The 23,773-nt window shown below is 44.0% G+C and overlaps 2 annotated features.

Moving 5' to 3' along the window:
- Positions 21,623-21,917: a silencer, noted in NCBI's record as "tiled region #13452; HepG2 Repressive non-DNase unmatched - State 12:CtcfO". NCBI's record gives its function as "represses a minimal TATA promoter and a strong SV40 promoter by Sharpr-MPRA in HepG2 cells {active_cell/tissue: HepG2}" and the evidence as "EXISTENCE:reporter gene assay evidence [ECO:0000049][PMID:27701403]".
- Positions 21,688-21,837: a silencer, noted in NCBI's record as "silent region_15799". NCBI's record gives its function as "represses an Ori minimal core promoter by ATAC-STARR-seq in GM12878 lymphoblastoid cells {active_cell/tissue: GM12878}" and the evidence as "EXISTENCE:reporter gene assay evidence [ECO:0000049][PMID:35858748]".

Below are 23,773 nucleotides of genomic sequence, written 5' to 3' on the forward strand. Positions count from 1 at the left end.
ACCTCCCTCACTATCCCTCAACCTCTTTCTCCTTTCAATCTTGGTGCCACACTTCAATCTCTCCCTTCTCTTAATTTCAATTCCTTTCATTTTCTGGTAGAGACAAAGGAGACACGTTTTATCCATGGACACAAAACTCCGGCACCGGTCACGGACTAGGGAAGGCAGCCTTCCCTTGGTGTTTAATCATTGCAGGGATGCCTCTCTGATTATTCACCCAGGTTTCAGAGGTGTCAGACCACGCAGGGACGCCTGCCTTGGTCCTTCACCCTTAGCGGCAAGCCCTGCTTTTCTGGGGGAGGGGCAAGTACCCCAACCTCATATCTCTGCACCCCGATCCCTTATTTCCGCGCTCTGACCTCTTATATCTCTGTGCCCGATCCCTTATTTCCGCGCTCTGACCTCTTATATCTCTGTGCCCCGATCCCTTATTTCCACGCTTTGACCTCTTATATCTCTGTGCCCTGATCCCTTATTTCCGCGCCCCAACCTCTTATATCTCTGCACCCCAATCCCTTATTTCCGTGCCCCAACCTCTTATATCTCTGTACCCCAATCCCTTATTTCCACACCCCGACCTTGTATTTCTGTGCCCCAAACCCTTCTCTGCTTTTCTGGAGGGTAAGAACCCCTGAACCCCTTCCCTCCGTGTCTCTACTCTCTCTTTTCTCTGGGCTTGCCTCCTTCACTATGGGCAACTTTCCACCCTCCATTTCTCCTTCTTCTCCCTTAGCCTGTGTTCCTAAGAACTTAAAACCTCTTCAACTCTCACCTGACCTAAAACCTAAGCATCTTATTTTCTTCTGCAATACCACTTGACCCCAATACAAACTCGACAGTAGTTCCAAATAGCCAGAAAATGGCACTTTCAATTTTTCCATCCTGCAAGATCTAAATAATTCTTGTTGTAAAATAGGCAAATGGTCTGAGGTGCCTGACATCCTGGCATTCTTTTACACATCGGTCCCTCCCTAGTGTCTGTGCCCAGCACAACTCATCCCAAATCTTCCTTCTTTCTCTCCCGCCTGTCCCCTCAGTCCCAACCCCAAGCGTCGCTGAGTCTTTCTAATCTTCCTTTTCTACAGACCCATCTGACCTCTCCCCTCCTCCCCAGGCTGCTGCTCGCCAGGCTGAGCTAGGTCCCAATTCTTCCTCAGCCTTCTCTCCTCCGCTCTATAATCCTTTTACCACCTCCCCTTCTCACACCCAGTCTGGCTTACAGTTTCGTTCCGTGACTAGCCCTCCCCCACCTGCCCAGCAATTTACTCTTAAAAAGGTGGCTGGAGCTAAATGCATAGTCAAGGTTAATGCTCCTTTTTCTTTATCCCAAATCAGATAGCGTTTAGGCTGTTTTTCATCAAATATAAAAATCTAGCCCAGTTCATGACTCGTTTGGCAGCAACCCTGAGACACTTTACAGCCCTAGATCCTAAAATGTCAAAAGGCCGTCTTATTCTCAAAATGCATTTTATTATCCAATCTGCTCCCGACATTACATAAAACTTCAAAAATTAAATTCCAGCCCTCAAACCCCATAAGAGGATTTAATTAACTTTGCCTTCAAGGTGTACAATAATAGAAAAAAGTCGCAATTCTTGCCTCCACTGTGAGACAAACCCCAGCCACATCTCCAGCACACAAGAACTTCCAAACGCCTGAGCTGCATTGGCCAGGCCTTCCTCCAGAACCTCCTCCCCCAGGAGCTTGCTACAAGTGCCAGAAATCTGGCCACCAGGCCAAGGAATGCCTGCAGCCCAGGATTCCTCCTAAGCCGTGTCCCATCTGTGCAGGACCCCACTGGAAATCAGACTGTCCAACTCACCTGGCAGCCACTCCCAGAGCCCCTGGAACTCTGGCCCAAGGCTCTCTGACTCCTTCCCAGATCTTCTTGGCTTAGCAGCTGAAGACTGATGCTGCCCAATCACCTCGGAAGCCCCCTAGACCATCACGGATGCCGAGCTTTGGGTAACTCTCACAGTGGAAGGTAAGTCCATCCCCTTCTTAATCAATACGGAGGCTACCCACTCCACATTACCTTCTTTTCAAGTGCCTGTTTCCCTTGCCTCCATAACTGTTGTGGGTATTGACGGCCAGGCTTCCAAACCTCTTAAAACTCCCCAACTCTGGTGCCAACTTAGACCATACTCTTTTAAGCACTCCTTTTAATTATCCCCACCTGCCCAGTTCCCTTATTAGGCTGAGACACTTTAACTAAATTATCTGCTTCCCTGACTATTCCTGGATTACAGCTACATCTCATTACTGCCCTTCTTCCCAATCCAAAACCTCCTTTGTGTCCTCCTCTTGTATTCCCCAACCTTAACCCACAACTATAAGATACCTCTACTCCCTCCTTGGTGACCGATCATGCACCCCTTACCATCTCATTAAAGCCTAATCACCCTTACCCCGCTCAATGCCAATATCCCATCCCACAGCATGCTTTGAAAGGATTAAAGCCTGTTATCACTCGCCTGCTACAGCATGGCCTTTTAAAGCGTATAAACTCTTCTTACAATTCCCCCATTTTACCTGTCCTAAAACCAGACAAGCCTTACAAGTTAGTTCAAGATCTATGCCTTATCAACCAAATTGTTTTGCCTATCCACCCCATGGTGCCAAACCCATATACTCTCCTACCCTCAATACCTCCCTCCACAATCCATTATTCTGTTCTGGATCTCAAACATGCTTTCTTTACTATTCCTTTGCACCCGTCGTCCCAGCCTCTCTTTGCTTTCACTTGGACTGACCCTGACACCCATGAGGCTCAGCAAATTACCTGGGCTGTACTGCCACAAAGCTTCACAGACGGCCCCCATTACTTCAGTCAAGCCTAAATTTCTTCCTTATCTGTTACCTATCTCAGCATAATTCTCATAAAAACACATGTGCTCTCCCTGCTGATCATGTCTGATTAATCTCCCAAACCTCAATCCCTTATAAAACAACAACTCCTTTCCTTCCTAGGCATGGTTAGTGTGGTCAGAATTCTTACGCAAGAGCCAGGACTGCACCCTGTAGCCTTTCAGTCCAAACAACTTGACCTTACTGTTTTAGCCTAGCCATCATGTCTCCGTGCAGTGGCTGCTGCCGCCCTGGTACTTTTAGAGGCCCTCAAAATCACAAACTATGCTCAACTTACTCTCTACATTTCTCATCACTTCCAAAATCTATTTTCTTCCTCATACCTGACACATATACTTTCTGCTTCCCAGCTCCTTCAGCTGTACTCACTCTTTGTTAAGTCCCACAATTACCATTGTTCCTGGCCCAGACTTCAATCCGGCCTCCCACATTATTCCTGATACCAGACCTGACCCCCATGACCGTATCTCTCTGATCCACCTGACATTCACCCCATTTCCCCATTTTTCCTTCCTTCCTGTTCCTCACCCTGATCACACTTGATTTATTGATGGCAGTTCCAACAGGCCTAATTGCCACACACCAGCAAAGGCAGACTATGCTATAGAACAAGCCACTAGCCTGCCTTTTAGAACCTCTCATTTCTTTCCATCGTGGAAATCTATCCTCAAAGAAATAACTTCTCAGTGTTCTATCTGCTATTCTACTACTCCTCAGGGGTTATTCAGGCCCCCTCCCTTCCCTACACATCAAGCTCGAGGATTTGCCCCCACCCAGGACTGGCAAATTAGCTTTACTCAATAAGCCCCGAGTCCGATAACTAAAATACCTCTTAGTCTAGGTAGACACTTTCACTGGATAGGTAGAGGCCTTTCCTACAGGGTCTGAGAAGGCCACCGCAGTCATTTCTTCCCTTCTGTCAGACATAATTCCTCAGTTTAGCCTTCCCACCTCTATACAGTCTGATAATAGACCAGACTTTATTAGTCAAATCAGCCAAGCAGTTTTTCAGGCTCTTAGTATTCAGTGAAAACTTTATATCCCTTACAGTCCTCCATCTTCAGGAAAAGTAGAACAGACTAATGGTCTTTTAAAAACACACCTCACCAAGCTCAGCCACCAAGTTAAAAAGGACTGGACAATACTTTTAGCACTTTCCCTTCCCAGAAGTCAGACCTGTCCTCAGAATGCTACAGGGTACAGCCCATTTGAGCTCCTGTATAGACGCTCCTTTTCATTAGGCCCAAGTCTCATTCCAGACACCAGACCAACTTAGACTATGCCCCCCAAAAAACTTTTCATCCCTACTGTCTTCTGTCTAGTCATACTCCTATTCACTGTTCTCAACTACTCATACATGCCCTGCTCTTGTTTACACTGCCAGTTTACACTGTTTCTCCAAGCCATCACAGCTGATATCTCCTGGTGCTATCCCCAAACTTCCACTCTTAACTCTTGAAGTAAATAAATAATCTTTGCTGGCAGGACTATGTTGAATCTCCTTAGGCACTCTGTGATCAGATGTCCTGGGTCCTCCCAATTCTTAGACCTTTTATACCTGTTTTTCTCCTTCTCTTATTCCATTTAGTTTTTCCATTCATACAAAACCATATCCAGGCCATCACCAATAATTCTACATGACAAATGTTTCTTCTAACAACCCCACAATATCATCCCTTACCACAAAATCTTCCTTCAGCTTAATCTCTCCCACTCTAGGTTCCCACGCCACCCCTAATCCCGCTTGAAGCAGCCCTGAGAAGCATCGCCCATTATCTCTCCATACCATCCCCAAAAAGTTTTCACCATCCCAACACTTTACCACTATTTCATTTTATTTTTCTTATTAATATAAGAAGACAGGAATGTCAGACCTCTGAGCCCAAGCTAAGCCATCATATCCCCTATGACCTGCACATACACATCCAGATGGCTGGTTCCTGCCTTAACTGATGACATTCCACTACAAAAGAAGTGAAAATGGCCTGTTCCTGCCTTAACTGATGACATTGTCTTATGAAATTCCTTCTCCTGGCTCATCCTGGCTCAAAAGCTCCCCTACTGAGCACCTTGTGACCCCTACTCTGCCTGACAGAGAACAACCCCCATTTGACTGTAATTTTCCTTTATCTACCCAAATCTTATAAAATGGCCCCACTCCTATCTCCCTTCACTGACTCTCTTTTCGGACTCAGCCCACCTGCACCCAGGTGATTAAAAGCTTTATTGCTCACACAAAGCCTGTTTGGTGGTCTCTTCACACGGACGTGCATGAAACTGAGTGTAGGCCAAGTTAGCCTTGGGAAAGGATTTAGTTTATAGTTTAATCCTGAAACAAAACTGTTAATAGCCCTTTCCTGAAAAAACTCCCTTTTTGCCTATGAATCAGTCTGCCTTTGTAGGACTAACAAATCAGCTACAAGATTAGAAATTACCATTTAGGAGCCTTGCAGCCTCTGGCTGCAAGAGTCTCAACCTCCTCAAATTGCTCCTGGGATTAACATCACTGTTGTAAAACCTAAGATCAGTGCTTAAGATATTTCACAAACCCTGCATTCTGATGTACCAGCTGACATGGCCCAGACCAGTAATCTGGCTCAACCAGTTCTGCAATCCCACACAGGAACAGATGTCAGCAAGAAGAACTCATCTCAGCCCCTTATGATTTCATCTCCAGCCCAATCTATCAGTACTCCTCACTTCCCAATCATCTACCCACCAAATTATCCTTAAAAACTCCAATCCCAAGTTTTCATTTTTGGGGAGACCGATTCGAGTAATAATAAAATTCTGGTCTCCCCACACAGCTTGGTCTGAGTGAATTACTCCATCTCCATTGCAATTCTCCTGTCTCAATAAATTGGCTCTGTCTAGGCAGCAGGCAAGGTGAACCCATGGGGCAGTTACAATTGCATGGACTGAGCTAATAGAAGACTGAAATAATTTTTTTATGACTTCTTGTGTTTGAAACATTGCTAATTCTTTTTGTTTTACAGAATCAAGAAAATCTTTTTTGAGTTACTTACAGCTTTTAACAATTGATTAGAGCAAAATTTGAAACACTTTTCTTTCTTTCTACTTGATTTTTCCAGAATTTGAAAGCTATTTGTGAGTATTCTTAACTTATGGTAATATAGTTATTTGCATAAATTCAGTAAGATCTATTTTCTTTTGTAACAGGACACAGTTGGAGGCACTGGCTCTTTTACCAAGGCTTTAATTGGAAGGGTATATTTTCAGATATGAGCAGATTTCTGTGAGGAATTGAGATTGACTTATAGATCTGATAAAAGTTCTTTGGAAAAACTGACCTCAAACATTTTCTATGTAGTTCCTTTACAGATTTCCTTACATGTTCCTGACTTGTGGTAAGTAAAGAATGTCACTTTCTCACAGGCCCAGGAACCCCAAGTTATTTTGGGATTTCAAGAAGAGAGAAGTTTCCCAATTCATACAGGTATCTGCAGGGATAAATACTTGGCTGTGTTCATGACTTTTAAAAGGTCTAATTTGTGATTCTTTATGAAAAAAGATTCCAGAAAAGCCAACTTACAACAGTCTGTATGACAAATAATTATTCTGCCTGCACTTTATGCAAATAATCAGGCCAAGTATAATAAGACTAAACTAATTTTGCTAAGAAATTGATCCTACTATGATTTTGTCTTTAGTAATATTGGAAGATTGGGGACAGAAAAATTATGTTTCAAAGGAAACTATGGTATAACTGTTATTGGATTTTAACCTTATCCATTGCATTCAGTTTTGATTATTTTCTACCATTTGGACTGGATCCTAATTTTTTTTTTTTGAAGTTGCCAAGCTAAAATGTTCAATTTCTGCCCTCCAATTTTTTTTAACTTGAAATCACTAGAAATTAAAACTCTGCTTTTCTTAAAGCTCTGCAAACTGAAGCTATACAACTTAAACTCCAGGAGAAAATAACAGCAACTTATATATAAACAAGCTTCAAGCCTGCTTGCTAATGTAAAGACTTCTCAGAAAGTTAGCCTGAATGCCCGGTTTGAATTACAATCCAGAAGAATTTGTCAGATTGTCGTTGCAATCTGAAGATGCCTCAGAGACCTTAGGAAAGCAGTCTATAGACTGCTCCAACCATTAACCTTGTTTATTCTTCTGCTTTTATAGAAATACCTTTTTTAGAGATCCTATTGCCTATATCATATATAGAGGTCTAGCCCATCTGCAATGCCACCTCTCAGAATGGGACACAGTTGTTTAATGGAACTCATCTATTCTCAGTATTCAGAGACTGACTAAAGAAGATATGGGAAGATATATTTAAATTTGCTCCTTTCTATTTATCTCAGTTTGTCTTTCTACTCCTTTCTCTATCTCTGTCTAACAATCTCTAGATCAAATCTCTCCAAAGCTATCAGCTTGGTTTTTGATATGAAACTTATTTTAAATTGCAAATAGGAGACTGAAGGAAATTAAAATATTTTACCCCCAAATATATTTATTTGATGTATTTTGAAATGGCTGCCTCTTGGCCATCCTATTAGAGGTGGCATTGCAAAACTATCTTAAGTGGGGAAAATTTGCATCTGCAGAGAATCTCCCTTAATGCAGCCATGCCTCCCTCCCCTTCCTATTCCTTTCCCTGGGTCCAGGAGAGACTGACAGTCTGACATCTTTTAAAGTCTGAAAGGAAACATTTACCATCTGTTTCCTCTGAAGGGGGCTTCCTCCACATAACAAGGCCATCTTTGCTAGCCAAACTTCTTCTTTTCTCTCTTAACACCTCTTGCCACTGAAGCTGATTTAGCTGTTTCTGGCAATCCTCTGAGTGTGCTTTCTTTACAGTGGCCTCAGGATGGTATGTAAGTGTCTGTAACTCATTGGGATGTTGGGTCTTCATTCTGAAGGCTCCCTTCTATATATTGTTAAATAAATTTGTATGCCCTTTCTTTCATTAATCAATCTGCCTCCTGTCAGTGATTTTTTAGCAGTCATTTAGGGGGCCAAGAACATTTGGCCCTCATGCCTTTTTAATTTATTTCCTTTCATTTTTCAGAATGAACTGCTTTCCTTAGTTCCTGGAACATCTGTGGTACTCCATAAATATTTCTAGGACAAGTAAGCACTTCAATTATTTTACACTGTTTGTGGCATTTGGGTTACATAGTGATATGGTTTGGATTTGTCCCCACCCACATCTCATCTTGAGTTGTAATTCACACAGTTCACACATGTCATAGGAGGAACCCAGTGGGAGGTGTTCGAATTATGGGTGCGGGTCTTTCTTGCACTGTTTTTGTGATAGTGAATGAGTTTCATGAGATCTGATGGTTTTAAAACACAAGTTTCTCTGCACAAGCTCTCTGTTGCCACCCATGTGAGATGTGACTTGCTCCTCCTTGCCTTCCACCATGATTGTGAGGCCTCCCCAGCTACATGAAACTGTGAGTCCAGTTAAACCTCTTTCTTTTGTAAATTGCCCAGCCTTGGGTATGTCTTCATCAGCAGTATGAAAGCAGAATAATATAATAAATTAGTACTAGAAGTGGGGTGCTGCTGAAAAGATATCCAAAAATGTGGAAGCAACTTTGGAATTGGGTAACAAGAAGAGGTTGGAACATTGTGGAGGGCTCAGAAGAAGAAAGGGAAATGTGGGAAAGTTTGTAACTCTCTAGAGACTTGTTGAATGGCTTTGGCTAAAATGCTGATAATGATATTGGCAATGAAATCCAGGCTGAGGTGGTCTCAGATGAGGAAGTTGGGAACTGGAGCAAAGGTGACTCTTGTTATGTTTTAGCAAAGAGACTGGCAGCATTTTCTCCTGCCCTAGGGATTTGTGAAACTTTGAACTTGAGAGAGAGGATTTAGGGTATCTAGTGGAAGAAACTTCTAACCAGAAAAACATTCAAGATGTGACTTGGGTGCTGTTAAAGGCATTCCGTTTTATAAGAGAAGCAGAGCAAAAAAGTTCAGAAATTTGCAGCCTGACAATGTGATTGAAAAGAAAATCCCATTTTATGAGGAGAAATTCAAGCTAGCTGCAGAAATTTGCATAAGTAATGAGGAGCTGAATGTTAATTACCAAAAGAATGGGGGAAATGTCTCCAGGGCATATCAGAGACCTTCATGGTAACCCATCCTATCACAGGCCCAGAGACCTAGGAGGAAAATGTGGTTTTGTGGGTTGGGCCCAAGCCCCCCATGCTGTGTGCAGCCTAGGGACCTGGTGCCCTGTGGCCTAGCCACTCCAGCCATGGCTGAAAGGGGCCAATGTAGAGTTTGGGCCATGGCTTCAGAGGGTGAAAGCCTCAAGCCTTGGCAGCTTCCATGTGGTGTTGAGCCTGCCAGTGCACAGAAGTCAAGAATTGGAGTTTGGGAACCTTTGCTTAGATTTCAGAGGATGTCTGGAAACACCTCGATGTCCAGGCAGAAGTTTGCTACAGGGGCAAGACTCTCATGGAGAGCCTCTGCTAGGGCTGTGTGTAATTTTGATCTGCCTCAGCTATGGGGAGACTCACCACCAGGGAGATTACCACCATCATAGCTACCATTAGATTACTCATGGTCAGCAGCTTGTTCTGAGACCTCAGTTTCTCTTCTGCAATGTGAGCTAGTCTCTTCATCTGCCCCCAGGTCAGTGGAGTTGCTTGGTGAGTTTTACTGGTTTCCATCTGCTCAACAGAGATGTTTATCTGAGCCATCAGATGAACTGGGGGTGCAGGGACATTCTGAGGTCTTTTCCTCTTCCTTGGATTCTGGCTCATGGAACAGCTTAAGATGTCTTGTGGTACCCAGACAGGAAGCTGATTCTCTCCTGGTGAGGTACAAGCAAACCCTCGACCCCATGTAATGATTTTGCCCTTTTCCCAGGTTTTAGTTCTGACGTCCTTCCACCACTCATGTTTTCCTTCATGAGGATTTATTTTTTGCCCTGTCAAATGCTGCTCTGCTGCCATTATAACCTGATCTCTAGACAAATCCAAAAAATTTAAAGTGATAATGTGTCTGGAATTGGTGGGTTCTTGGTCTTGCTGACTTCAAGAATGAAGCCGCAGACCCTCACGGTGAGTGTTACAGTTCTTAAAGATGGTGTGTCTGGAGTTTTTTCCTTCTGATGTTTGGAGGTGTCTGGAGTTTCTTCTTACTGGTGGGTTTGTGTTCTCGGTGACTTCAGGAGTGAAGCTGCAGACCTATGCGGTGAGTGTTATAGCTCTTAAAGTCTGCACGTCTGGAGTTGTTCATTCCTTCCAGTGGGTTCGGGGACTCACTGGCCTCAGGAGTGAAGCTGCAGACCTTCGCAGTGAGTGTTACAGTTCATAAAGGTGGCATGTCCGGAGTTGTTCGTTCCTCCCAACCAGAGTTGTTCATCCCTCCCAGTGGGTTCGTGGTCTCACTGGCTTCAGGAATGAAGCTGCAGACCTTTACAGTGAGTGTTACAGCTCATAAAGGCAGCACAGACCCAAAGAGTTAGCAGCAGCAAGATTGAATATGAAGAGCAAAACAACAAAGCTTCCACAGCATGGAACGGGACCCGAGTGGGTTGCCGCTGCTGGCTGGGGCAGCCTGCTGTTATTCCCTTATCTGACCTCAGCCACATCCTGCTGATTGGTCCATTTTACAGAGAGCTGATTGGTCCACTTTACAGAGAGCTGATTGGTCTGTTTTGACAGGGTGCTGATTGCTGCCTTTACAAACCTTTAGCTAGGCACAGAGTGCTGATTGGTGCATTAACAATCCCTTAGCTAGACAGAAAAGTTCGCCAAGTCCCCACTAGATTAGCTAGACATAGAGTGTTGATTGGGGTGTTTACAAACCTTTAGCTAGACACAGAGTGCTGGTTGGTGCATTTACAATCCTTTAGCTAGACAGAAAAGTTCTCTGAGTCCTCACCCGTCCGAGAAGCCCAGCCAGCTTCACCTCTCAGTGGCACTCGCCATGGGATTTAGCGGCACCTAGCCTGGGCACTCTGGCAGCCCAGAGGGAGCTCATCCCCAGATCAAGCCCAGCAGGCGCCAGCTGGCTGTGCTGAGTGTGGGGCCTGCCGAGCCCATGCCCACCTGGAACCCACACCAGCCTGTGAACGCGGCACACAGCTCTGGCTCCTGCCCATGCCTTTCCCTCCACACCTCCCCGCGAGCAGACAGAGCTGGCTCTGGCCTTGGCCTGCCCCAGAGAGGGGCCCTCATGGTGCAGCAGCAGGCTGAAGGGCTCCTTGAGTGTGGCCACAGTGGACTCCAAGGCCAAGGAGATGATGAGAGCAAGCGAGGGCTGCTAGCACATTGTCACCTCTCAATAAGAGCCAGTTGTATCTGTGTATGTGGAGTAGAGTATTCTCTGGATCCCCCCTTCTGTCTTTTGTTTTCGTAATTGAGATTTTAAGGTTTAGTTAGCCCATTCAACAATGGCTTGGCCTTGAGAATCATAGGGTATTCCAGTACTGTGCTCAGTGTGCCATTGTTGGAGGAACACTTGTAAAGATTTACTACAGTAGCCTGGGCCATTGTCTATTTTAATCTTTTGTGGGATGCCTATGGCAGCGAAACAGGAAAGTAAATGTTTCTTAATATGAGCTGCTGCCTCACCTGTTTGGCAAGTTGTCCATACAACACGAGAAAAGGTATCTATAGTAACATGGACGTATGGAAGTTTCCCGAATGAAGGTACGTGGGTTACGTCCATTTGCCACAACATATTGGGGGTTAATCCCTGTGGGTTAGCACCAGTCCCTGCATGTGGCAGTTGTAGTACCTGGCACTGAGGGCAATGTTGCACAATGTCCTTTGCCTGTCTCCAAGTAATTTGATATTTTTGTTTAAGTCCTGCTGCATTAACATGTGTTAGGGAGTGAAAATCTTGGACATTAGTAAGCACAGTGGAAACTAGTAAATCACCTTGATCGTTAGCCCTTACAACGGTCCCAGGGAGATTAGTATATGCTCGAATGTGCATGATATAGAAAGGAAAATAGTGATCACGCACTGCCTTTTGTAAAGAAGAAAACAGCTGATAGAGTTGTTCATCCACAAGATATTTAATGAGTGCAGTTTCTATGTATTGAGTGGCTTGAACAACATAAGCTGAATCAGAGACAATATTTACAGGTTGCTTAAAGTCTTCTAACACAGCTATAACTGCCTGTAATTCAGCCCTCTGTGCCGATTGAAAGTCAGTTTGAATAATTCTGTTTTTAGGTCCCACATAAGCTGCTTTTCCATGGCTAGAGCCATCTGTAAACACAGTCACTGCTCCTTCCAATGGAGCACAATGGGTAATTTTTGGAAGGACCCATGTTGTTAGCTTTAAAAACTGAAAAAAATTTTTTTTGGATAGTGATTGTCAAGAACTCCAATGAAGCCAGCTAAATTTATTTGCCAATTGACCAAATTAACAAAGGCTTGCCGATCTGATTTGTATTCATTGGAACTATAATGTTATCTGGATCTGAACCGCGAAGTTTAACAACTCTAAGGTGAGCTTGTCCAATCAAGATTGCCATCTGATCCAAGTATACTGTGAGTGTTCTGACAGTATTCTGAGGCAGGACGGACCATTCAAGTAAGTCCTCACTCTGAACTATAACCCCTGTAGGAGAATGGAGAGTAGGGAACACAATGAGCTGTAATGATAAACTTGAGTCTATTCTATTATCCTGGGACTGCTGTATTTTTTCTTCAATCATTTGTAATTCTTTGGCAGCCTCAGGAGTCAGTTCTCATTTACTATTGAAAGCAGGGTCTACTCTTAAAATAGAGAACAGATTAGACATAGCATAGGTAGGGATTCCCAAAGTAGGTCGAATCCAATTGATATCCCCTAATAATTTTTGAAAATCTAAGTTTTCAGAGAGTCTTTTTGAATTTGAACCTTTTGGGGTTTAATTGCCTTTTCCTGAACATGCATTCCACATATTGGAAAGGAGTGGCCGTTTGAATTTTATCTGGTGCCATGAGCAATCCAGCATTGGCTACCACCTCCTGTAAATATGAGTAACACTGGATAAGTTGGTCTTGATTTTTGGCCACACACGATATGTCATCCATATAATGAATGATATACGAATCTGGAAACTGATCTCTCACAGGTTGAATAGCCTTCCCCACAGAAGTTTGACAAACAGTAGGACTATTCAACATACCCTGTGGCAGGACTTTCCAGTGATATCTGGCTGCTGGTTCCTTGTTGTTCATAGCAGGAATAGTAAAAGCAAATTTCTCAAAATCAGACTCTACTAGAGGAATATTAAAAAAGCAATCCTTCAAATCTATAATTATTAATGGCCAGTCTCTAGGAATCATGGTAGGGGATGGAAGCCCTGGCTGCAGGGCCCCCATTGGCTGGATGACTGCATTGACCACTTGTAAGTTGGTTAGCATGTGCCATCTGCCAGACTTTTTCTTTATTACAAACACTGGTGAATTCCATGGAGAAAATATGGGCTCAATGTTTCCTTTGTTTAATTGCTCTTTGACTAATTCCTGTAAGGCCCCCAATTTTTCCTGAGAAAATGGCCACTGCTAGACCCAAACAGGATTTCAGGTCTTCCATTTTAAGGGAATAGGACTTGGAGGCTCAACAGTGACCACCCCTAAAAATGGCAACCTAATCCTTTTCGGTCATTTTTTACAGTAACCTGTATGGGTTCAATAATGCCTGCCTCCTGTTTTCCTAGGCCTTTTCTGGGAACATAGCCCATGTTTGACATTATTTTTTGACTAGCTTGACCATACCTGGGAGAAGAGATTGAAATTTCTGTGCCCCATTGTGGAAGCAGATCTCTCCCCTGTAAGTTAACAGGAATGGGTGTAATTACAGGTTTTATTGTGACTTCCTGTTCTTCTGGACCAAGACCAATAAGATAAAAGTACTTTGGAAAACTTCTGAAGCAGTTCTGACCCCAACAAGACCCACTGGGGCCTTTTGTTTGGGCCAGTTTTTTGGCCATTGATAAAGAGCTATGATTGACACATCTGCTCCTGTGTCGACCAGACCCTCAAGTTATTTTCCTTGAATAATGACCTTACAAATAGATCTTTTGTCAGAGACTTGATTTACCCAACAGGCAGCCTCCCCTGCTGAATTTGTGCTTCCAAATCCTCCTGTTCTTTTTTCTGATTTGTCTTCTAACTTAACATACGATCAAAGCAACAGTTGAGCTATTCTGTCACCTGGATTAGCACTCCAGGGAACAGTGGAAGAGATAACAATTTGAATTTCTCCCTGGAAATCAGGGTCCACTACTCCAGTATGTACTTGAATTCCTTTAAGTTTAAGCTGGACCTTTCCAGTATAAGTCCCACTGTGCCTTTTGGCAATGGGCTGTAAACTCCCATTGGGACCTTCCTAGGAGGCTCCCCAGGAAGGAGGGATACAGCTTTGGTACAGCATAAATCTACTGCCCCACTTTTAGCTGTGAAGGGGGATGATTGCTTTACATTTGTAACAGGGATAGACTGGGCTGGGAACACTCCATTTGGAGTCGGGGACATCATGTCCTGAATTGAGAATGCCCCATTTTGAATTGGGGCCCGGGGCTGGCCCCTCTGTCCATTTCCCGGCAAGGGCTGTCCACTATTATCAAACTTTGAGTGACATTGATTAGCCCAGTGTTTTCCTTTTTTACATCTAGGAAAGGTACCTGGTTCCCTGCTTTTTCCTCCTGAGTTTTGCCTTTTTTGGCTCTTTGTACACTCTCTTTTTGTATGTCCTATCTGTCCACAATTAAAGCAAGATCCAGGGAACACTCATGTGTTTTTTGTTACCCTTAGTCCAGCCATTGCCTGAGCAAGGAGACTGGCCTTATATAAGCGCCCCCCAATGCCATCGCAGGCTTTAATGTATTCACTTAAAGTTTTTTCCTCATTTAGATCTGCCTTTCCCTTAATAGGTCTAATAGCTGCCTGACATTCTGTATTAGCATTTTCATAAGCAAGCAGCTGAACAATCACTTTCCTGGCATGAGAATCCAAAATAGCCTTTTGAGCCACGTCTTGCAAATGGGCAATAAAATCTGGATAAGGCTCCCTTGGACCCTCTTGAACTGAGTTAAAAGAAGGATAAGTAGTATGAGGGTTGTGAATTTTTTCCCAGGCTCTTAGGCATATAGTTCTGAGCTGATCAACAGCCTCATCACCCATTACCATCTGTTGATTTAGAGTACTCCATGCCTGTCTGATTCCAAGCAATTGATCAGATGTGATATTAACGGGAGGTTGGGCTTGAGCACTCCTGCATGCCTGATTTGTTGCTTCATCCATCCACTAGGTTTTAAATTGGAGAAATTCAGAGGGGGACAGTGTGGATCGGGCTAATGACTCCCAATCCATAGGTATTAAACGCCGGTTATAAGCCACAGAATGTAACAAGGAATGAACACAAGGAGAATTTGGCCCATATTGTCCAATTGCTTGTTTTAAGTCTTTTAATATTTTAAAAGGAAATGGCTCCCAGCATGCTTGAGCATGTTCTCTGGGCTCCTTAGCTGGCGAAATGATTACTGGAAACCGCCAAGCATCCAAATCCCCCATTTCTTGTGCCTGGTGAATGGATGCCTGATTGTCCCTGCACCATAATTTGTATTTGGGCCGGCTTGCAGCATTCCTCTATCATAATTAACAGGTGGGCAAGCCTGGATCATTCCCTCACTTTAATTGGCTGTTGGGCGAGCTGAAGCTTCCCTTCACCATAGTTAATGGTGGGGGTTGCAACAATGGGAGTGGTGAGTCGCGTCTCAGGCTCCCATTCCAAAAATTCGTAAGGCTGAGGCGGGGGTGGCCATTCTGGACCTTCCCCTAAAGGTGCAGTAGGTGGCACTATTTCTGCAGTAGGTGGAACTCTTTCTGTCCTAAGTTTTTGGAGGTTAGCATATATACCTTCCCGTTTCTCCTCCTTTTTTAAACTAGACTGTGATGGTTCACTTTGCTGAGCATCAGACTCCTGATTATTAAACTTTTCTATGTCATCCTGAAACTCATCCTCCTCCTCCTCAGTGTGGAAGGGCTCCAGTGCTATTTTAATTGCTGACCACACAGACCAAGTGGAGAAGGGAATATCGTGGCCCTTTTGTTGTGCTCGTTTTAAGTCTGATCTGACCTTGTCCCAATCTTTTACATTCATGGTTCCATATTCCAGGAACCAAGAAGAATACTTTTCTACGAGATGGAACAAAGATGTGAGATTTTGGGTACTCACAATTACCCCTCCATGGTGCAATAACTGCCACACTAGACTTAAGTAATTAGCAAGCTTACTTTCAGCCTGACCCATACTTTCCTGAGGTAACCCTGGAATTCTCCCAGTGCCCTACTTACCTGTAGAACCTGAAGTGAAAACATACTCGGGTGTCCTTTGTCGGTCGTCCTCCACTTTCCACATTTTGGTGTTTCTTCACCGGATTATTTGTAGAGATTACAGGGAGCCCCGTGTTGGGTGCCAGATGTTGGGGAAACCAGCCCCACACCACCCAGTGGGTATTCTGAGTCCAGCGTAGACAAAGGAGTTAGAAAGAGACAGAATAAGCACTTTAAAGGCGGGTCCAAGGGACCGGGGCTTTGGAGGCTTGCTCATGGCCCAGAGCTCTTGGGCTCTGCACAATTTATTGGTTTACAAGCAATTCGTTCTTAGGGCAGATGGCAGGGGGAGGAAGGATGAGGAAAAGGATTAATCAGTGAAGGAGAACTCGTGAGTCATTCAATAAGATGTATAGCAGTGGCAGTTTCTGTGAATTTCATTGAGCAAAGGCATGTGTCTAAACTACTTAAGATCTTTAACTTATCGGGACTGAAACAGGTGGGAGTGGGGTTCAGGAGGAGCCAAGATGTTTGATTATACTCCACTGCTTCAAGGGAGTGTTATCTCCCTGAGCAACCTGCAGAATGCTGCTGAGTGGTTATGCTCTCGGGGCATAAAGACATGAAGGCAATAAGGAGACTTTTCTCCTCAGAGGCCACCCATGGCTCCCCATGGGTGTCTCACACAGGTGAGACCAACTCAATTGACACCCAGAAACTTTCTTTCCCACAGTATTTTATTTACTGAGTTGATGATTTAGGCCTCAGGCAAATAGGGGAAGCATCCCTCTTTTGGCACCAGTTGTAGCTAAAACAGGTGTGTAGATATAATACCCAATGGTGGGTAGAGGTCCCAGCCTTGATGAAGGTGGTGGCTGGTGTAGGGGGGTCTCAATTAGATGTGCTGAAGTTTTATCAGGTTGAAGGGTGGGAGCTACCTTATCTTTCCTGTGAAGCCAGCAGAAAAGCTATCCACAGCCACACTCCTGTCCTAATGTTCTGGTTACTCAGATCAGACAGGCATCTCTTTTTATCTGTAGAAATGTTGATGTTCCAAGTAGAAAAGAATTATGACTCTGCCTCTTGTGCAGTCCTGAACCTGGAGAGTGCTTCTCCTGTGGGGCTGCAATCAACCCGAATTGTTTCAAGAAGGCTGTCTGTATGTGCATCTATGCTGCATGCCTATGAGAGAAGCCCTAGCCATTTCCGCAGTAGTGTGCCTGGGAGAACAAGGACCCCTTTTTCAAGACCCTTTATGATCACAGAGGCTGCCTGCCTGATGGGGTAGAGGTGCAGACTTTCTCTACTGTGTCCAGCACTGCAATTGTGTCTCTGTTGTAAGAAACTTTCCACTAGTGGAACAATCTGGGACTCAAGTCCTGATATTCAGAGTCTCTTGTCCCACAGGGTGTTCCCTTGATGTGGTGCTCTCCCCCTTCCCTTAGGAATGGGATTTCCTGGGAGCCAGACTACAATGATTGTTACTGCTCTTCTCGGTCTAGCAACCCAATGGGGCTACCAGATTCTCTGCTGGTGCTGGGTAATATCTGCAAAAGATCCAGTCATATGACCTGTCTTCAAATGTCCCAGCAGTGGATACCAGCACCTGCTCTGACAAAGGTGGAAGGGGAGTGATGTAGGCTCTGTGAGATTCCTTGGTTTGAGACAAACTTATTGGGCTGGCTTCCTTAAATGCTGCTTATACTGGTAGTGAACTCATGACATGGACAGACTCAGGATCTCTGGTTAGCCAGGGTGTTGCAGGCAGTGGCGATAGCTGAGATCATGCAGCCATTTTCTCCTTCCTGGGTGCAGTGCTAGAGGTACTGTAATGGCCTGAGTTGGTTGGCCTCTAGCCAGGAGGTGGTGCTTGCAAGACAGCACCAGCTGCAGTAGTAGCAGTGGGATTTGAGCTTTCCGTAAGTTGCCCAGGGGAAGTAATCTGTTTTTTCAGGTGATTGGTGGGGCCATAAAGCTCCCAAAAGTTTATATCCTTTGTGTTAAGCTACCAGGGCTGGTGGAGACATACCACCAGGTGGGGGTAGGGTTACATGGGTCTAAGTTCAGACTCCTGGGTGGGGCAGGCCATAGCCCCTATGGGGAGAGTCATTCTCAGGCCACTGGGGCAATGTTCCAGAGGGGAGAGTAAAACTGCCTCTCCCCTCTGTGCCTCTGCACCTCTGCTGCACAGAAGAGTTCACAAAGGGAGTGGGGAGTCATGGGCAGCAGTAAGCTTCACCCAGCTCCCATGCAGTTGGAGAGGCTGGTCTTGCTCCTGCAGTGCTCCACTAACAGCGCTGGGTTTAGATCCCGGTCTGTGCACAGAACTCAGACCTGCCCCAGGCCATAAGCTTCCCACAGAGATAGAAACCACAGCTTTGAGGCCATGCTTCTCCATGTCTGCTGGCAAGGCTGGGAGCCCAGCTCTGCTCGTGTCTGTGGCTCACTTCCCACTCACCGTCCCACTCCAGGTTCTGTTCAAGGGAATTCATCCCCACTTGAGATTATGTCACAAAATTCAGTTTGGAGCTTCTTTCACCCTGCAACTCTTCCCTAAGCATGTTGCCTGACTTCCCCGAGGACCCCTGTGAGATTTAGTAAGTAATGTCTTCCCTAGGCTCATGCTGGAGACTGGGAATGCCTACAAGTACTTCCTGATGATGCTTCTACTTGTATATTGCATGCTGCTCCCCAATTCCATTCCAGCTTTGGATAGGGTTATGGCCTTCTCCTGTGGTCTGGATTTGCAGATTCCTTGGTCAGGATGAGTGCTTGGAGGCAGACTCTCTCCCCTTCTAGCAATCTGGGAATTTAGTTTTTTGCCAGTCTCATGGACTAGACTACAGCCTGCCACTTCTTTCCTGGTAAGTTTCTGTGGTGGCTCTTGAAAAAAGAAATTCACAGTGTTACTCTCTACTGACTATTCTGTCCTTGCAAGTGGGAGAGGCACAATAACTCTGCCTCCTATCCACCATCTTGAAAAAAAGACAAGGGAGTCTATAGCAGATATATGGGTACTTAGGGACTGCATGGCCTGGGTTACATTGTGAGAGTAATCAGGGATATATACATAACATTTAGTTTTAATTAACACACAAGTTATGCCTTGGATGGCAGTTAAGATGACCAGGGCCATACAGTTTTGCAAAGTAAGGCATCCAATTTGGGTAGTTTCTTTAGTGAGAAGAGTAATAGCATGGCAGGTATCATTGAAGGCTGCAGCCATAGATTTAGCCAGGGCCTCAACTTGTAGCTCTATATCTATTGTCACTGCTTGACAGCCCACAAACACTCAGGTAAGGAGAGGCCAGCCTCAGGGATGGGTGGTTTGTGAGGGATGCCATTTTACTTATCTCAAGTCTGGAGAGTATAATACCCTCTGTCTTCATGTTCCATAGACAGAGAAGCCATCCCTTGATCAACTGTCTCCCCTTCTATCTGAACCAATTTCCCAGCTCTGCCAATTCTTTAGTGGTATAATCCTGCATTGGGGTTCACTGCAGTCTTTCAGGTGGGGGCAAGTCTTGTGGAGCTACTCCCTGTATGCACAGTTGGTCTGCTTTTATCTTGGTGGTGACAACTGGACATGAAGAGAGGAAAGGAACCTCTATAGGCTTGTCCCAGTCCTCACTGTCCTTCTCACAGTTTCTCTCTATGGGGTTCCAGGACTTAGGGTCCCAGAATTATTTAGTCATAATAGCCCTGACTTGTTGATGTGGCAGCTGGCGACCCTCTGAATGACCCACCTGACAAGCCAGGGTTTACCTTTTGTCATCCTGCGCCCAAAGGTCTCCAATGTTTTAGCCTGAGCTAAGCTGGTATCTCTTTCTAATCTCATCCATTTTATAAGTGAGTCACCCTTGCCTGTACCACAAACTCAGTCTCTGGCTGCTTGGAGCACAGTCAGGAGAGGCTAGCCAAGTGTGGCTGTGATGGCTTGGGCATCTGACTTTCGCTTAGTTGGATTAACCCCCTGCAACAGCTTGTCCAGATCCTTTGGCATTGTTGGAGTGTCCTCATACTCAGGCAGTGGGACCCATCCATCTATTGGGCCCCACATAGATGTAGATGGCCAGCCTGAGATTCCCCCTGAGGATCTCCCCTTCCTGATCCTATCCTTTTGGCACTCATGGGATATTCTCTGACCTCCTGGCTGGGCTTGGCAATTGTTGGACTGGACCCCTATTGACTCCAACAGGGATGGCACTGTGTCTGAGAGGCCAAAGAAGACACCTGGAGACAGTGAACGAGACATAGGGTTTATTATGGGTAACTTACATACAGGGGCAGTTCAGTGGAGGTAGGCTGGACAGGAGAACTGCTGCTGTTCATAAATGCAGCAGTTTATATAGCATTTTCACTTAGCACCCTCTACCTAGCAACCTACATCTAACTCAAAACAAAGGGCTCCGATCCCCTGTTCGTCCTGTATTCCAAGGGATGGGGCCGAGATTTCATAGAGAAGGAGTGAACCTCTGGGTTGGCCACTCCCAGATTCCTTAGCTCAGAACTCTGAACACACATTCTTTGTATGGTCATTGTCAGGGTGTGCTTAAGTTATTGCTGTCAGGTGCATCTGCCATACACACACTAACTATAATATTTATTTTTAGCCTGGTTGTGCCGCTAATATTGCTATGTTTCTTTAGGTGATGTAAATTAACTTAATTCCTCTTTGGAAAATTAGGGAGCTTTACTTGAGACGAAATATTAAATATTTTTTGGAAATGAGTTTAAAAATAAATGCTCAAAAATCATAAAAGCTATTAAAATGATGTTTGATATACACTGATTTAGAGGGTAAGAAATCAAGTGGAATTAATTAGTTGCTCAACTCTAAAAGACTCACTAATAAAGAGGTAATGAAATGTTCATGGTGAAATGTTTCTTTTACACCAATTTTTTATGCTGAGATAGGTTCAGCTGGGATGCATGCACAGCTGAGAGGCAGTGAGGCATATGGGAAGCATGTGAGTTTTGGAAGACAGTCCTGGATTTAAATCTGCAATTTAGAGATGTGTCTGGGTAAATCACTCACAGCCTCCAAATTTCGGTTTCCTCATAGAATTTCTGCATAATAATCCCTGAATGGCAGGACTGCTGTCAGCATTTGAGGTGATATTTGCCGTTTCTTTGGTCCAAAATTTAGTACATACAAGGGACTCAATAACGATTAGATATTGTTATTAGTTGTCCAGAAAGCAATCTGCTTGCACCAGGCCTTTTGCTCCTGGAACATCCCATGTTTTTAACTTCGCTGATACTTTGTTTTGCTCTAGAGGGAGTGGAAACTAGCTTAAGGAGGTGAAAACATATCTCGTTATGAAATGGCAATTCATTTTCCTAAAACTATACAGGGAATTCAGTTTCCCCATATCTAAAAAGAGTGGGTGGGCTATGAAATATCTAAAAAGAGTGGGTGGGCTATGAAATATCTAAAAAGAGTGGGTGGTCTATGAAATGGAATGGGTTAAAGACTTCTCTGAAGGCCTTAATTTCTAATATAGCGGTTTGTATCTGCTGTGTACGCAGATGAGAGTTGTACCTAACCGAGGAGCGGGCGGTCCTTGCAGCGTGGGCTCCAGGAAAGGAAAGGAAGCCTTGACGCAGCATCATTTATGGACTTGAACACTAGGTGTCGCTCGCGCACTTGTTTTCAGCCGTAGGATTCAGAGACGGTATTTTAGGCTTAGACCCAACACTTGATTTACAGTTCTTCCGAATCTTTGCCCCACACTTATACATTGTTTTCGGATGTTTGTGCCAATCTCCTGCTAACCTATGCTCTCTGCCTGAACCTCATTCACCTGCCTCAAATTTCTGGCTTATTGAAGAACAGAACTCCTTAATTCCATTTCACTGCTTTCTAGGTCTCAACATTTTTGCTCTTCTTTTCTGAGAAGTGTTCGGCAGTATACCATATCTACACTCCCATCCATAGGCCTCTTAGTGCACCAGATCCAAAATATCTTATATAAAGGATGATATAAATATCTTACATAAAATATAAATGTATAATGTCTATAAAATATCTTTCAGTATCTTTTAATATCTAAAGTACCTTGTGTAACGATCTTATACAAAGTATGACATCTTATATAAAGTATTATATAAAGTCATTGATTCACTGAACAAACATTATTTAGTTTTGTGTGCAGCATAGAATCATCTTATGTTTTGATGTAAACACTCAAGTATTTGTTCCTGATGTATTCAGAAGAATATTTAGGGAATATGAAAATTCCCTAACACATATAAAGGATATCGTTTATCCACTGGAGTGTATAGATAGGATAATTTTTCTAAAAATATAAGATCTCTCTCTTAGAAAAGGATAAATACATTCTGTGTTGCTTCTAATGTTTGTCAGGGGAAGGAGGCCACATTGAGTTCTATTGTGAGAAAAGAAGCAGAATGAGAATGAGGTCTTTTGCATGGAAGGGATAATGAGAGTTTGGGCAGAGCAGGAAGAGACTACTAAAGAGGGGACGAAGTCAGCAAAAGGATGGACTTGGCTAGGGAGAGCCTGTATTCATGCCCCTGAGAGGTCTGAGCGTGGTTGATGACCTGGAATGGGTGTATTCTTTGTGTCCAAACCTGTGGCTCAGGGATGACCTAGCTGGGCCAGCTGTCCTCATTAAATAGTCATTATTTTTATTAAATGGAGGATCGTGCTTCATTCAAAGTCAATAACAGCTAGTATCAATGACTAAGATATTGACTGCCTAGTAGTAGCAACATCCCTGCCTACACCCAGAGATATTATCAGCCAATTACCTCATCATCTGGTTATGGGGGAATCTGTGTTCTGCGCCATGCCTTGAGCATGACACATATTTTGGCAAACCTATGTCTAGGTTTCCTTTCTGCAATACCATATGAAATAGTAAACTCGAGTGACCACTGGACTTCTAATGGGATGAGCAGTGTGGCAGAAGTTTCTGTTTTGCTAGGACCATCCTAACCTAAGAAAGTCATGAAGTAAACTCCACAGTATCGTGTATGAAATTCTATGCTAGGCATTGTAGACTAAATAGAGATGAATAAGACTTGATTCCTTATGTCTGATTCCTGTTTATGGGGCAGAATGGATACTATGGGTCCATGATAAAGTGTCAGGTCAGGAGGGGAATACATTGGGGTAAGTATTTCCCTACTTGAGACAGTAAATGCAAATAAGGTTTTGTAAGTCCCTTTACTCTTAAGGTAGGGCTCAACTCTGTTTTAATACATTTCTGACTTCTGAGTTCATTGGTTTATGTGTGAAACAAAAAGATTACTTTCTTAATTTCTTGAAAAAGTCCAATATCATCTGTAAAGTCTTTTGTTGATGTTATATGATATCACACAGAGGAAGAATTATGGGTTGGATCGTAATACTATTAGCTTGATGAGTTTCTGGCTGAACATTGAACCACACATTGCTAATCTGATATGTTTTCTGCTGGTAAATATCAGAGCCTTGTTGTGGCCCGTATTCTGTTCAATACGTTCATCAGGGATTTGGATAAAGATATGAAGGACACACTCACCAAACATGTGGATGACACAGAGTTAAGAGGGTTCATGAAAAAAAACCCTAAATGACAGAATCAGATGAAAGCGGTCCTAACATGATAGAAAGATGAACCAAACTC

This window comes from Homo sapiens, chromosome 4 (genome assembly GCF_000001405.40).
Source record: "Homo sapiens chromosome 4, GRCh38.p14 Primary Assembly".
Classification (NCBI taxonomy): Eukaryota; Metazoa; Chordata; class Mammalia; order Primates; family Hominidae; genus Homo; species Homo sapiens.